General features: G+C 38.3%; 1 protein-coding gene across 5 annotated transcripts in view; it reads right to left on the reverse strand.

Moving 5' to 3' along the window:
- CUBN (cubilin) overlaps positions 1 to 14,996 on the reverse strand; it is a 305,846-nt gene that overhangs the window by 111,771 nt on the left and 179,079 nt on the right. For all 5 annotated transcript variants that reach the window (NM_001081.4, XM_011519710.3, XM_011519709.3 and 2 more), the window contains 6 exons: positions 14,265 to 14,375; positions 12,742 to 12,870; positions 11,499 to 11,631; positions 4,296 to 4,501; positions 3,227 to 3,411; positions 1,856 to 2,048 (listed from right to left, as the gene is read on the reverse strand). In NM_001081.4, coding sequence (NP_001072.2) covers positions 1,856 to 2,048; positions 3,227 to 3,411; positions 4,296 to 4,501; positions 11,499 to 11,631; positions 12,742 to 12,870; positions 14,265 to 14,375 — 957 coding nt within the window. The remainder of the gene's footprint in view (positions 1 to 1,855; positions 2,049 to 3,226; positions 3,412 to 4,295; positions 4,502 to 11,498; positions 11,632 to 12,741; positions 12,871 to 14,264; positions 14,376 to 14,996) is intronic.

Here is a 14,996-nt window from a genome sequence, read left to right on the forward strand (position 1 = left end):
AGGTGTGGTGGTGGGCACCTGTAGTCCTAGCTACTTGGGAGGCTGAGGCAGGAGAATGGTATGAACTCGGGAGGCGGAGCTTGCAGAGAGCCGAGATTGTGCCACTGCACTCCAGCCTGGGCGACAGAGCGAGACTCCATCTCAAAAAAAAAAAAAAAAAGAAAAAAAAAAAGAAAGAAATACTGATAGGACAATGCTCAATAAGTTGACATATTTCAAAATATTAAGGTTTTTTAAGTTTTAATGACACTTTCACAGTGTGGTATCATTACAGGATAATCACTTATGCCATCTAGATAATTAGTAAACTCTAAAATTCTCTTGACCCCTTACTTTCCTTTTTTCTTTTTCTTCTTGACTAAGAAAAATAAGGTTTATGGCTCTCTTCTTCACCTGTCCACTTACATCATATAATTATGAAATTTCGTAATAAAATATTAGAAGAAAATTTGTTGGTATAATATTTTACACAAGTAAATAATTCCTTTTCTACCTTGAGGGTTGTAAATATAAAAGAAAGCTTAACTCAAGTTTATTTCTAAGAGCTCTGGATATATCCATCCAGATTTAAATGTTGCCTCTAAATTGCATTTGTCAGTCTTGCTGATGGTTCTTTGCTCTTAGATAGACAGATCAATATTTTAAGTAAGAGATTTGTATTCAGTGTCATGAAAGCACCTTATTAGAGAGGTAGGAACAACATTTCAGAATGGAATACTAAGGGACATTAAATAAATATAAGTACAAATTATCTTCATTAGTGACTTCTGCTGATATAAGAAGTTAGAAGCAAATAGGCTAATCTTTTAAGTCATAGAACAAGTTCAGAGTTCGAATATTCTTCAATGAGATACCGTGATTCTGTGTTCCAATCAAGCATTCAAGGACTTAGAATATCCTCCAAGAAATATCTGATTAATTTCTTCTATGTCAATCCTGAAATCCATAAGAAACGCTCAAATTCATTTAAATAAATTGCTTTTCTTTTCTTTTCGAAACGGAGTCTCACTCTGTCGCCCAGGCTGGAGCGCAGTGGCATGTTCTCGGCTCACTACAAACTCTACTCTGCCTCCTGGTTCAGGCAATTCTCATGTCTCAGCCTCCCGAGTAGCTGAGGCTACAGACGCGCTCCACCACGCCCAGCTAATTTTTGTATTTTTAGTAGAGATGGGGTTTTGCCATGTTGGCCAGGCTAGTCTCGAACTCCCGACCACAAGTGATCCGTCTACCTCTGCCTCCAAAAATGCTGGGATTACAGGCATCAGCCACCGCACCCGGTCTCATTTAAAAATTTTTCAAGAAAAAAGTCTCCCCAAACAATGCTAGCTCAATATCACTTTCACTGAGGGGATTAGGAATGTAAAAAAGTAAAATAAAAGTTTAAAATTCGGCCCATTTTACTTTGAAACATGGAAATTTACAACCAGCTAAGGAGAAACTGAAGCATTTCTGAAGCTACATTTGAAATAAAATGCAGAGGAAAAATAGTTACTTTTATGAGTTGATCCTTAACTAACTGATTGTGTGTGTGTGTGAATGTACATGTGTAGTATCTGCAAATCAAATTTTCAGGGATTTCTAAAGTGGTCTCTAGAAATTGTAAGTAGACGATCTTATGGATATCAAGCCCCTAATTAATATAAAAAATATAATGGGACCTGCATTTTTTAGAAAGAAACGTACAATTTCTACAAAAGGTAGTGTTTATGAATTTAAAACAACATCTGAACATATGGTGGAAGGGCTTTGGGGCTGTACTTATTTTTATATCTGACCCCTGTTATGATAGGATCCTTTGAAACATTGGCCTGCACATATCAGTCCTAAAAAGAACTTCATTTATTACCAAACACACCTGGAGCAATGGTAGGTAAAACACCATCAGGTGCATCCACTGCAAACCACTCCAGAAGGAATCCCTTCCCTGAGATTGAAGAGTCGGAGTAAAAATGAAATGTCAAAGAATTTCCAGTGGAGCTGAAAGATTCAGTCTGGGTACCACAGTAAGCTCCAATTAGGCGGGCGTGAATGCTAGGCCCATCATAGATCTGTACATAAAAACAGATAATAGAGCATTGTATTATCTATATTTTTCTTCATAAAAAGATAAAATAAAAAAGATGCCTTATATTATTACAATGTTATCATAACAAAAAAATGACAAATGAGTAAACATTTAATTTTAGCTTAAAACACATACTGCCAGAGAATATAAAATATTATTGAAGGTAATTTAATGTTTTGAAAACATTTGCATCTTTGTTGCAGAATTATATTAATAAACATGCACTGTGGGAATCACTCATAAGATGATTTACAGTAAAATTTGTGGATGGAAAAATAGGAACCAGGATGGTTGCCTACCAACAGTACTTAATAAATGTGCTTTGGGGCTTCAAAGGGAGGAATTAGGAAGAAAGAAGGGAAAATAACAAGAAGAGAAAAGCTTTAATGAGAGAAAGTGGACAGGTATCCTAAAGGAGTCCATATTTCCACAGAAGGAAAGAAGAATTAATGACAACAAAATAGCCAAAACTTGTAGGGCTCACCATGTTCAAAGCACTTAGTAAATCTCCTACCTTTGGTTTTAAAATCTCAAATTACCTATTTTGAGGCATATTCTGTGATAATTTTTAAATAGCTCAGGACAAATTCATATGAACAGTTATTATAAAATACTCTACCAAACAAATTATGTAATAGTCATTCCCATACATATTGGGCACCCATCAGGCACTGGGATCTATTCATGACCAAGAATCCAAGATGAATAAGGTGGGGTCATAGCCTGTAAGCATCCGATTGTGTTTCTGGAACTGATATGGTAGCCAATGTCTGGATAGCAATGATCACCATGATTTTTATATTTATATTTATTTTTATATGATCATTAAAATTTTTAATACTCTAACATAAAAACAAAGAGGATAGTAGGAAATAAGACAGAATAAATACTTATTTAGGACATACATGCATGCTTAGACAAAGCTCAACAGGAAAATTATAATAATCCTAAAAAACCCCTTAGATATGAAATGGAAAATAATAAATACAATACTGAAATTGCCTTTGTCCATGTAATCTAGAGGCAGTCTGCTCTAAACATGATTTAGAGCAGACTATCCCACATGATTTGCAAATGCTTGAATAGACGTTACCTTGGATTTATTTTTACCAATAGCAATTCACCAATATTTATGAACATTGATTGCATGTGGAAACTCACCCTTAATTTGTCATAATAGCAGTTTTGTATTTCTTCTATGTCCATCTCCAAGATTCTACCATGGACAACGTGAGATGCATTCACATTTACTGTCCATTGGTAATTGGAGTTATGTGGGTAGTTTTCAGGCCAGAAAGGAGAGGCGACTTTCCCATGAGTTCCCACAATATTATCATTGCCAAATACTAGGAGGGAAGACAGAGTAGTAAATCAGACCCACTTAGAATTGCTCTTTAATCAAATGAAAAAAACAAAAGGCAAAGGGTGTTGAAAAGGATGGACTTTTAATTGACTGTGATTTCTTTTCTGACTAGGGAAAGAAATACTGCCTCCTTTTTGGTTTCTGGGCTATCACTTCCTTAGAAAAGGTCCTTAAAACGTTGCATGGTGTGAAAAGAGGCCACAACTTCCCATGTGAAAAGGGGTTCTGAGCCCCTAGGGGACTTGGGGACATGGGAAGGTGGGGTGAGCAGCCCCACTCTCTAATTTTGGTTTATCTATTTTACTTTGTTTTTCAAAAGAATGGAACATTTAAAGAAATTTACAAGAAAAACTGATAGTTTGAAATTACATATGAAATAGCCAATAATGGAAAAGTTGAGCTAGAGAATAAAAATATTTAACATTTTATACTATTAGAAGAATCCCCTATTGTTGTTATATGTGAGCACTTAAGCCAATCCCAAAGTAATACTAAATGTCTTAAATGTGAAGAACGTAGAGTTTATGAAATCAAATGAAACACACTTGATATAAATACACCAAACCCAAACTATAATATATTACCAGACTCTAACACAACGTCATGAAAAAAACTAATTTAACATTAGGTAGAAATTAGAGCTTAAAAAGAACAATAGAACCATTGAGAGTGCTCTCCCTTGCCCTTATTGAGCCATTCATATGCAATTCAGTTTTTCTAATATGTTATAAGGTAATTCACAAAGACAATGTAGGAAAATAGTGTAGAGTTTAGGATTGTTCTTGCTTAATATATTACTGAGAAAATTATTATTTCTAGTTTGTAAGACATATTCTGGAAGCTATCACTAAAATAGAAACAACTTACTCTTCATAAATGTGGCCTGGAAGCCCGTGCCGCTGCCAGAACCATCTGAGATAAATCTGACCCACAGGGTATGTCCAACGATGGAAGAATAATTGAGAGGGAAGGAGTTTCCACAGTATCGTCCCACCAAGTGACCCGTGGCATTTCCTTCACGGATCTCCACAAAATCTCTGCTGCAGTCCTGAGAGTCTTCCAACTGGAAAGATCTGATTTGGGGAAAAAAATATTTAAAGGGATTAAATTGAGAGAATAGACTTTGGGATTCTCCCGGATCACATGCTAGGTTAACCCGTTCACTTTTTTAAACTTTCTTTAACTTTGATCACAACATTATTTGGCTGTCTCAAAAAATTTCTTTCACTCGGACTTGTTGAAATGTGTATCCAATAGCTACAAAGACGACGAATACACTTCCATCAAGGAGTTTTCTTCCTAGTGGGCAAAACTGGACGAGAATACAGAAAAAAAATATATAAGGCAGAATAGTGTGAGTGCCATCAGAGTTATAAAGTGGCGTTTAAGAATTGCAAAGCAGAGGCATCATATTTGATTGTGGTGCTCTGCAATAGCTTGATGGGAAGACTTTTTGAGATGGAAATATACATGTGAGCTGGATGTAAGCACTATAGATGGTGGGCAAAGAAGCATGCCACCAAGGCACATGTGCAGAGAAGGGCGGGACATATTCAGAAAACCACGAGATACCTGGTTTGTTTAAAACACTGAGTACCTCTAAGACATGGTGTGGGTTGGCTGAAGGTAAATAATAAAAAAAAAGAAACCATTAAAACATGTAACTGGGGCAATATGATGGGATCATTTAGGTGGCACTTAAATGCGCTGCAAAGGTGTATGTACTTAATTTCTGGAGAGGCAGCAAAATTATGGGATTTGTAACAACACCCGCTGGTGCTTGAATGTGACCTATTCAACTTGTCTTATATTCTGCAACTACGATGTGTTGGGGAGTCGAGGATAGGAAATAGTATCTACCTCATATGATGTTCATAGGTAACATATCTAAAGAGTCTGGAACATGTAGGTGCTAGTTGAGTACTTTCAAAACTTGGCCTTACTGCTTAAAAACATGAGCTACTCAAGATAAAGTGGTATTGGTGTAAGGGTAGACAAATGGATGAATGGAATAGGAAAGAATTTCCAGAAGGGGACCCACAAATACACTGTCAATCCAATTCAATCCATGGTGCCAAGACAAATCAAGGGGAAAACTCATTTTAACAAATGGTGATGCAATAACGGATATCCTTATGGAGAGAGAGGAAAAAAAGAACCTCTACCTCTGCCTATCTTCGTACACAGAAACTAACTTAATATTTCTCAAGGATGTAAATATAAAGGCTAGAAACATAAAGATCCTAGAAGAAAACACGGAGAAAAATCTTTGTGACCTTGGGATGGGCAAATATTTCTTACATAGAATGCAAAAAGCACTAACCACAAGATAAAAAATTAATAAATTTGAATTCATAAATAAACATTTCATTAAAGACATGAATAAGAAAATGAATAGGCTGCGTGTGGTAGCTCACAACCATAATCTCAGCACTTTGGGAGGCTGAGGTGGGAGGATCACTTGAACCCAGGAGTTTGAGACCAGCCTGAGCAACACAGTGAAACCCCCTCTCTACAAAAAATAAAATGTAGCTATGTGTGGTGGCCTGTGCCTATAATCCCAGCTACTTGGGAGGCTGAGGCAGGAAGATGGCTTAAGCCTGGGAGATAGAGGCTGAAGTGAGGGGTGATCGTGCCACTCACTCCAGCCTATGCAACAGAGTGAGACTCTGTCCAGAAAATATATATATATTTAAAAAAATGAAAAGGCAAGTTACAGACCGGGGTGGGGAAATGGGAGATAATCGTAAAGCATTTATCTAGCAAGGGACTCAAAGTTGAAATATAAAAGGAATTCCTACAGATAATGAAAAAACAACCAAATTAAAAGTGGACAAAGGGCTTGAACAGATATTCATAAAAGAAGACAAGAAAATGGCTACCAAGAATGTGAAAAGTACTCTGCATGATTAGTCATCAGAGCAATGCAACTTAAATACCACAGTCAGATATCATTCCACACCCATCATAAGGGCTAAAATTAAAAGGCTGACAAGATCAATTGTTGACAAGCGTGCAAAGCAACTGAAGTCTTATATATTCCTCGTGGGACTGCATACTGACATAGCCACTTTGAATAATTATTTGGGAGTTTCTCATAAAATTAAATGTACATCCAATTAATGCCCAGAAATTCCACCCCTAAATATATACCCAAAGAAAATAAAAACACATGACCAAGGTAGTATCCTGAATATAAAATAACTCCTGCAACTCGAAAATTAAAAACAAATAACCCAATTAAAATGGAAAACAAACCGAATACACATTTCTCCAAAGAAGATTTATGAATGGCCAATAAAAACATGAAAAGATTTTCAAACATTATTAGTCATTAGAGAAATGCAAATCAAAACCACAAAGAGATAACACTACAAACCACCAGGAAGACTATTATTTAAAAATAGAAAATAAGAAGTGCTGATGAGGATATGGAGAAATTAGAACTCTTACGCATTACTAACGGGAATGTAAAATAGTCCATCCCTATAAAAAAGTTTGGTGGTTCCTCAAAAAGTTAAACATAGTATTATCATATGAACCAGCAATTTCACTTCTAGGTTTATACCCCAATGAAATGAAAGCATGAACAAACAGGAAAGGGGAAAGGGTAAAGGAAAAAGGGAAGGGAAGGGAAGGGAAAAGGAAGGGAAGGGAAGGGAAAAGGAAGGGAAGGGGGAAGGGGAAGGGGAAGGGAAAGGAAGGGAAGGGAAGGGAGGGGAACGGAAGGCAAGGGGAAGGGGAAGGGGAAAGGAAAGGAAAAATGTACTTCTCTGTCATGTGTATCTTTCTGTTAATGCTCAACATTATCCATGGCAAGATTTTACTTTATGCTAAGTATAGTGCTCCCCTGGGGCTCTATCTCAGCTAATGGAGGAGAATAGTTAGAGATAACCAGCCTGGAGGCTCTGACCACCTCAAGCCCTACCACTAATCAATATACCAGGCACATCTCTGGTCACTCCCTGCCTACCAGACCACAGGGGTGAAGTAACTGGTCAGCTCTGCTCTAACCTAGCTCTCAAGCCAGATACTAGCATTGGTAGGTCTCTAACCAAATCAGTAAGCCTGGTGGTAAGCTGGTGGCTCTCAGAATCCCACCAAGGTGGGTCACTACAGTATAGACCATCTGGACTAGACTAGATGGAATTTTCACAGCAAGCTATAACTGATAATTGAAATCAGGATATATCCACATCAGACAAAACAAACCACATATTTGTCTCCTTTGACAATCTGATGATTTATAACACAATATTTCTATCTTCAATCTTTTTTTTATTTTGCAAGGAATTGGTCTAAATCCATCTTTGGGATGGCTGCCAACTTTTGTGTATACATTCAGGCTCAATTTTATTACTCATAATATGATCAACAATGTGAAATACGCAAAATTGTTTTCTTCTGCTTCTCAGAAAGCAGAAAGGGAAGAAAGGGAGATCATTTTCCTCAGAACGTAAATTACACGAAGTTGCCTCTAAAATCTTTCTATGCAAAGTGCATAATCCAGCAACATCGGCATCACCGGAGAGCTTGTTTGAAACAAGGAATCTGGCCCCACCAACCAACTCAGTGAGAAAGTGAATTTCAGCAAGATCCTAGATGATCAACATGCACATTAGCATTCTGTCCGATGCTCCAGAAGATTACAAAGTGAAGGTCTTTTCTAAGTACTTGACTACTGCAATCCAGTGCTAGATGGCAGAAAAGACATTCCGTTGGACATGGTGGTAGGCAAATACCTAGAAGGATTAAATTAAACTATAAAAAAAGCTTTATTATGCTTGGAAGTCTTTGCTTTAGGCTGGTACATTTTATAAGCAACTACACCCTTTGGCTTAGATCTGTTAGTAAATGTAGGATGTGGAACAAAAATAGTACAATCACTGTTTCTTATTATCTCATTCTGATTCTTGAACTGAGACCTATCACTTTCTAAAAGCACTCTGCAAGTATAAAATACAATTTCTGTCAATTCCCTGCCCACCAAACCGCAGGGGTGAAGTAACTGGTCAGAAAGATTGCACTGCACTTTGAATAGAAAGATTTTAGAGACAACTGCATGTAATTTACCTTCTGAGGAAAATGATCTCCCTTTCTTCCCTTTCTGCTTTCTGAGAAGCAGAAGAAAACAATTTACCATATTCACATTTTTGGTCATATTATGGGTAATAAATGGTTAAATATATGTCTTACAAAAAACTCCTTTTTAGGTTTTATTTCTCCCCGTTCCTTTTTGTTGCAGATTCAACCATAATTTCTCCAGTCTTCTTCCCTACTCAGTTTCACCACAATCCCAGCCCCATGTTTTAGAACTTGATGTGATACACATGCTTCTCATACGCTCTCACACACCCCAGGGTAATGTTTCCAAGCATCCATCTGGATAGAATTTAGACCAGGGCAGAAATAACTCACAGGCCTTGCCTTCTCATTAATCAACTGCAAAAAAAGAGGCATCTTGCAGCCTAAAACGTCCATTTTAAAAATAAAACTCAAGCAAGTAACTCAGAGGAATCAAAATTAACTTCTTACAGGCGAGAAAGGAAATAGCTGAGTCATTACGATGTTCTATATGGTAATTAAAATGTAATGTCTATTAAGCACTGAAATAGATGAAACTTGCTTTCTGTGTGTGTAATCTCCCATCCTCTGGAAGGAGAGCCTAGTGCTGCCCGTTTGGATTTATTTGTGAGCTATCACAGAAGATACTTCAGAAATGGTAAAGATTGAGAGAATTAAGTCACCAAACATTTGCTATGCACTAGCTGTGTGGTATGCGTTTTAAATTTGACATCTTCTTTAACCTTCACAGTCCTAGAAATTTGAAATTACTATAAATTTGTTTATAGAAACTTGTTATTATTATCCCACAGAAATAAAATGAATTTAATTAAATAGCTTCTTAATGTTGGCTTATGAGTAATTTGTCAAGACCTGAAATCTTATCTGTCTTGAACACCTAGCTCAGTTCCTGGCAACCACTGAATGAGAGCAGTCAACAATGTGAATGTGGTAGAGACAAACAGGAAAAGACCAAAAAAAAAAATCATTTTATTTGGCAATTCTGATAGGCCTACTAAAGCTGTGCGAAGGGCTTTGGATTTTATTCTAAGGACAATGATGGTGTTTTATTGATCAATATATAGAAGGCACCTCATAGGAGAGTAGCATGTGCCAACTACATGCCTAGCACATATTAGGAGCTTAATAAATATCTGTTGAGTGAAAGAATAAATATATGTCTGGTAAACATTATAAAGTATATAGATTTCTTCCCATCCAGAACGCTGTGCTCTTAGTGAAGACAAAGACAAACCAGGCCAGGCACGGTGGCTCATGCCTGTAATCCCAGCACTTTGGGAGGCCAAGGTGGGTGAATTACTTGAAGTTGGGAGTTCGAGACCAGCTTGGCCAACATGGTGAAACTCCATCACTACTAAAAATATAAAAACTAGCCTGGGATGGTGGCATGTGCCTGTAATCCTAGCTACTCAGGAGGCTGAGGCAGGAGAATAGCTTAAACCCCGGAGGCGACGTTTCAGTGAGCTGAGGTCACTCCATTGCACTCCAGCCTGGGCAACAGAGCCAGACTGTGTCTCCAAAAAAAAAAAAAAAAAAAAAAAGACAAACCAAAACCTCCTTCCTGTGAGGCAGCTTAAACTTGCATTGCCTTTCGGCATGCAGAGGGTGTCTTTGTTTTAACACAAGGCCACTTATACCCTGAAGAGGCTCTGTCTGATTGATGGATTAAAAAAAGCAACTTGAGATGTTTGAACTTGGTCCACAAATAGGATAGTTGTCCCATATTTTTAATCAGTTCCTGATGCACAGATTAGCAAGTCTTGGAAGAAAAGTAAGACTTTTAAATAAACAGGACAGGGTCCTCAAAACAATCCTCTTCTCTCAACCATAAGTTACTTATATTCGCTTCAAAACAGAATTAGCAATCCCAACCACAGCCTAGTAATATGTAAAATAGACTGGTAAATAAATTTCAATTCAAAACGGCAATTTAAATTCCAGGATCTTATCTCTCAATATATAATAAGCATCCATTATCAGTGTGACGTGTCACATATACCTCTCTATCAGTTGATTAAAATGTGTGCTTTTTACATCTACTCTAGGACATATTATTGTTGCTGTCTAATTTAATCTAAGACCACTCAGAATGTGATAGGATCCTACTACTAATTCCATATTTATAGTCCATTTCAAAAAGTGTTATAGTGCAATGAGGAATATGAAAGTGTTCTAAAAAATTAAGTTTAAAGTTTAAGTAAGTTTAAGTTTGGAAGTTAAAAAAACTTCCAAAACCATTCCTTTTTTTTTTTTTTTTTTTTTTTAAGATGGAGTCTCACTCTGTTGCCCAAGCTGGAGTGCAGTGGCTCAATCTCAGTGCACCACAACCTCCACCTCCCAGGTTCAGGGCATTCTCCTGCCTCAGCCTCCCAAGCAGCTGGGATTACAGGTGCCCGCCACCACTCCTGGCTAATTTTTGTATTTTTAGTAGAGACGGGGTTTCGTCATGTTGGCCGGGCTGGTCTCGAACTCTTGATCTCAAGTGATCCACCCGCCTTGGCCTCCCAAAGTGCGGGATTACAGGCATGAGCCACTACACCCAGCCCCAGAACCATTCTTCTGACAGAAATAGAAGGAAAGGTGGATTGAGGTAGGGATAAGATAAAAGCGTAAAGAATGCTTAATTGAGATGGGAGGGCTCTGCTGGAATAAACAATACTAGTGATTCCCTGGAAGAACCTTAATGTGTCTAATTCCAAAAAAAAAGATAAGATTCCTGTACTCTGAACATGAATGCGCCACAGATTCATTCATTCACCAAGGACTCAAGAATGTACTTTTGGAAATGTTAGACAGGACCCAAGAACCATGGTCGAGAGAAACTTCATGCTATTTATAACTCAAACTATGACTGAAACAGAGGAAATTTGGAAAAATACTTCCTAAATTTCACGTACACTATGAGTTGCCCATCCTATTAGCACCAGAACTTCTTTCCTACAGATTCATTAGCACTGAAACAATACACCATAAAAAAGGATTTACATAAAAGACAGCTGGAGCCGGTTGCCAGGGGAACTGACGATGTTCCAGACACATTCCACATTAGGGGGATAAATGTCTGGGTAGCCAGGGCTGTTGAAGATGCCTTCAGCCATGTAGAACGTTCCACCACAAGCTGGAAGAAAATAGAAATAAAGTGAGTATCAGAGCAAAGACTGCATCAGACACTATAAAATAAAGGAGAAAGAACGCTAGAGCCATTATCAATGTAAAAGAATAGATAGTATTTCCATCTCACATTTTAAAACATTCATGTCATATAAAATAAGGGAACAATTCTGCAAACTGAAGACCAAGGGCCATGCAGTGTGGTGGATTAGAAGGAATTTCTGCAATGTCTTTTCTCAAAGCCGTTTCTTCCTGTGAACGGTAACTTTGAAGAATAAAAGACTTGTTTACCATCCTACAGCCACTTGGCTTTTGTGACCAGGATTCTATTCAACCCTGGCCTAGAACCCAACGCAGCATGCTTGCTTTCCCTCTCAGTAGAGCACCGAAATGCACACACCAATCTTCTAGGTGTTCTGTAGCTTTTAACCACTAAAAACAAGGAAGATGGCAGTGACCAACAGCACTCTCTGGGCTAAGAGGCTAAGAAACCCAGTCCTGGGTAGCTCCTCGTTCCTCTCCTCCCCAGGTTAGGGCTGCCTTAACAAACAAGCCAAAAAGAACACCAGGGTGAGCGAGGTGGCTCACACCTGTAATCCCACCACTTTGGGAGGCCGAGGCTGGTGGATCACGAGGTCAGGAGTTTGAGACCAGTCTGGCCAACATAGTGAAACCTCGTCTCTACTAAAAATACAAAAATTAGCCAGGTGTGGTGGCAAGTGCCTGTAATCCCAGCTACTCAGGAGGCTGAGGCAGGAGAATCGCTTGAATTGGGGAGGCAGAGGTTGCAGTGAGCCAAGACCGTGCCATTGCACTCCAACCTGGGCGACCAAGTGAGACTCCATCTCAAAAACAACAAAAGAACACCAAGTCATCTGATAGCATGGCATGTAGCTGAAAAGACAGCTACATTTCCAACCAATCCTCCACACTTCCAGAGTTCATTATTGCTAGAATTGACAACACGATCACTTAATTGGGAAGAAGGTAAGATTTGGCCCAGAGGTGATCTCAGGAAACTGGCTCCCAACTACGAAGGTCAGAGTCCCCAATAACAAACCAAGAATTTCTACCACATCCCTTTTAACCGCTAGAGTCAGGTGCTAGGGTTTCTTACCCGACACTGATGCGGTGACCGTGGTGTGGAAACCCCCAGCACTGATGCTAGAATCAGAGACGAATCTCAGCGTCAGGGCGCTGCTGAAGGATGTGATAGGATGGGGCATGTCGGTGCCACAGTAACGGCCTAAATAATGAAGATAATGACAAGGAGAATGAATGACAACATGGCAGAGACCGCTGTTTCTAGGAAACACATCTTTACTCGAATTACAAGAGACCAAAACAAAGTGAAGAAATTGCCACTAGGAGAACCACTTCATTCAGGGTCAATGTTTGAGACAATACCTGATGATTTAAAATAAACTATATATAGGAGCTATATATAGGAGAGGTGATTTATAAACATGATCAAGAACAATAGGACCAGAGGAAAAACTTAGATGACCAAGGGACACATGTACCTAAAGCAAAAATCTCCAGCCCAGTCGGACCCATACAAATAAATGCACTAATATCCACTATTTTGTAGCACAGAAAAGTGTGGATGCTGGAGCCAGGCTACCTGGATTCAGCCCCTGGCTCAGCCATTTGCTAGTTGTGTGATCCTAGGCAAGTGACTTACGTGCTTGGTGCCTCAGTTTCCTCACTTGGAAAAAGGGGCATATTGAAAATAATGAAACCTATCTCATAAGATTACAAGGATTGACCTACTATTTATAACATACTGAGAACAGTACTCAGCGCAAGGTATTGCTATGTAACAGCTTGTTAAATAATATACCCTTATCCTTGGTCAAATGCTTACTAACAAATGCTGTGAGAGGTGTGCATAGGGTGTGGAGAGTTCATTGATTGTTCACTATTGTCTCAGACACTGTCCTGGGCACTGGGAATTAGGCAACAGGCCAAACAGTCTCCTCTCTGACAGACCTTGTCTTCTAGTGCAGGATGAGAAGTTTTTACAACAAAATTCAAAAGTTAGGAAATTTACGGAGAAAGCTTAAATGGCCTGGTGTGTGTGTGTGTGTGTGTGTGTGTGTGTAGTGTGTGTGTGTTTGTTTGTTTTGCCTGAGAGCATTTCAGAAACTAGATAGCGGCACTCTTTAATTTTATTGGGATGTCTAACAAACAAAAAGACAGATTTTTAATGGAATTAATTAATTAATTATCTAATTAAGTGCTTTTTTTTTCGCTTCCACTAAGGACAAGGCTGAAAGAAACATACTCCATGTGAATGTAAGAACTTGGTCAAATATTAACAAGAAATTTCTGATAGAATGCTACCTAATGCTGGGATGGGTTGCATTCCACTATTCTTTAAAGCAGCTGCAATTTTTAAATGTTTTAAAACATATACACAAACTATTCACACGTTTGAATATATTAATAAACAGGCTGAGTTCCCTGAACCCCACATTCAAGCCTGCTTTCTTACCCTCTAATCATCTTTATTTGGCTTAGGCTGCTCTTTCTATTTATTGGAAACATTGCAACCTAGAATGGCAGCCTATAAATATGCGGATCTATAAATAAAGCACAGCCAAGACCACAGATGTAGATGAGTGAACGCTGAGGTACCTCGGAGGGGCGCGTCTTCGTGGCCGCCATCCAAAATTTCTACAAAGTCACGTGCACACGTTGTGCTTCTTTCAAGTTCAAAGTGGGTAAAAGAGAGGGTGATATGATTTACTGGAAGAAAAAAGAGAAGACTCTCTCGTAAAGTACTGGCAAATAAAACATACAGGGAGATGGGGCAAGACGGGGAGGTGGGGATGGTTAATGACTATAAAAAATAGAAGGAATGAGTAAGACCTGTTTGATAGCACAACAGGGTAATTGTAGTCGATAATAACTTATTGTACATTTAAAAATAATTAAAAGAGTAGAATTGGATTATTTGTAACACAAAGGATAAATGCTTGAAGGGATGGATACCCCATTTCCATGATGGGATTATTTCACATTGCATGCCTGTATCAAAACATCTCATGTACCCCATACATATATACATCTACTATGTACCCACAAAAATTAACAATAAAATTTTTTTACAAAATAAAATTAAAATTAAAAAACATACAGGGAGATAAATTTTACTTCTGGTAATTTCATGTAAGGGTTCTCCAGCAGAGAAGTAATGAATGAGGCGGATTTGCACATGGTTGAAGGGATAAAGCAAGGGAAGGGGACAACTTCTATCCTAGATGGTTTCCTTTGAAGAGTAATAGAATAGATGGTTTCCTTTGAAGAGTAACGGAATAGATGCTTTTGAAACTGCCTGTGGCATCTGAAACACTGGCAGTGGTAAAT

Source organism: Homo sapiens, chromosome 10, assembly GCF_000001405.40.
Source record: "Homo sapiens chromosome 10, GRCh38.p14 Primary Assembly".
NCBI lineage: Eukaryota > Metazoa > Chordata > Mammalia > Primates > Hominidae > Homo > Homo sapiens.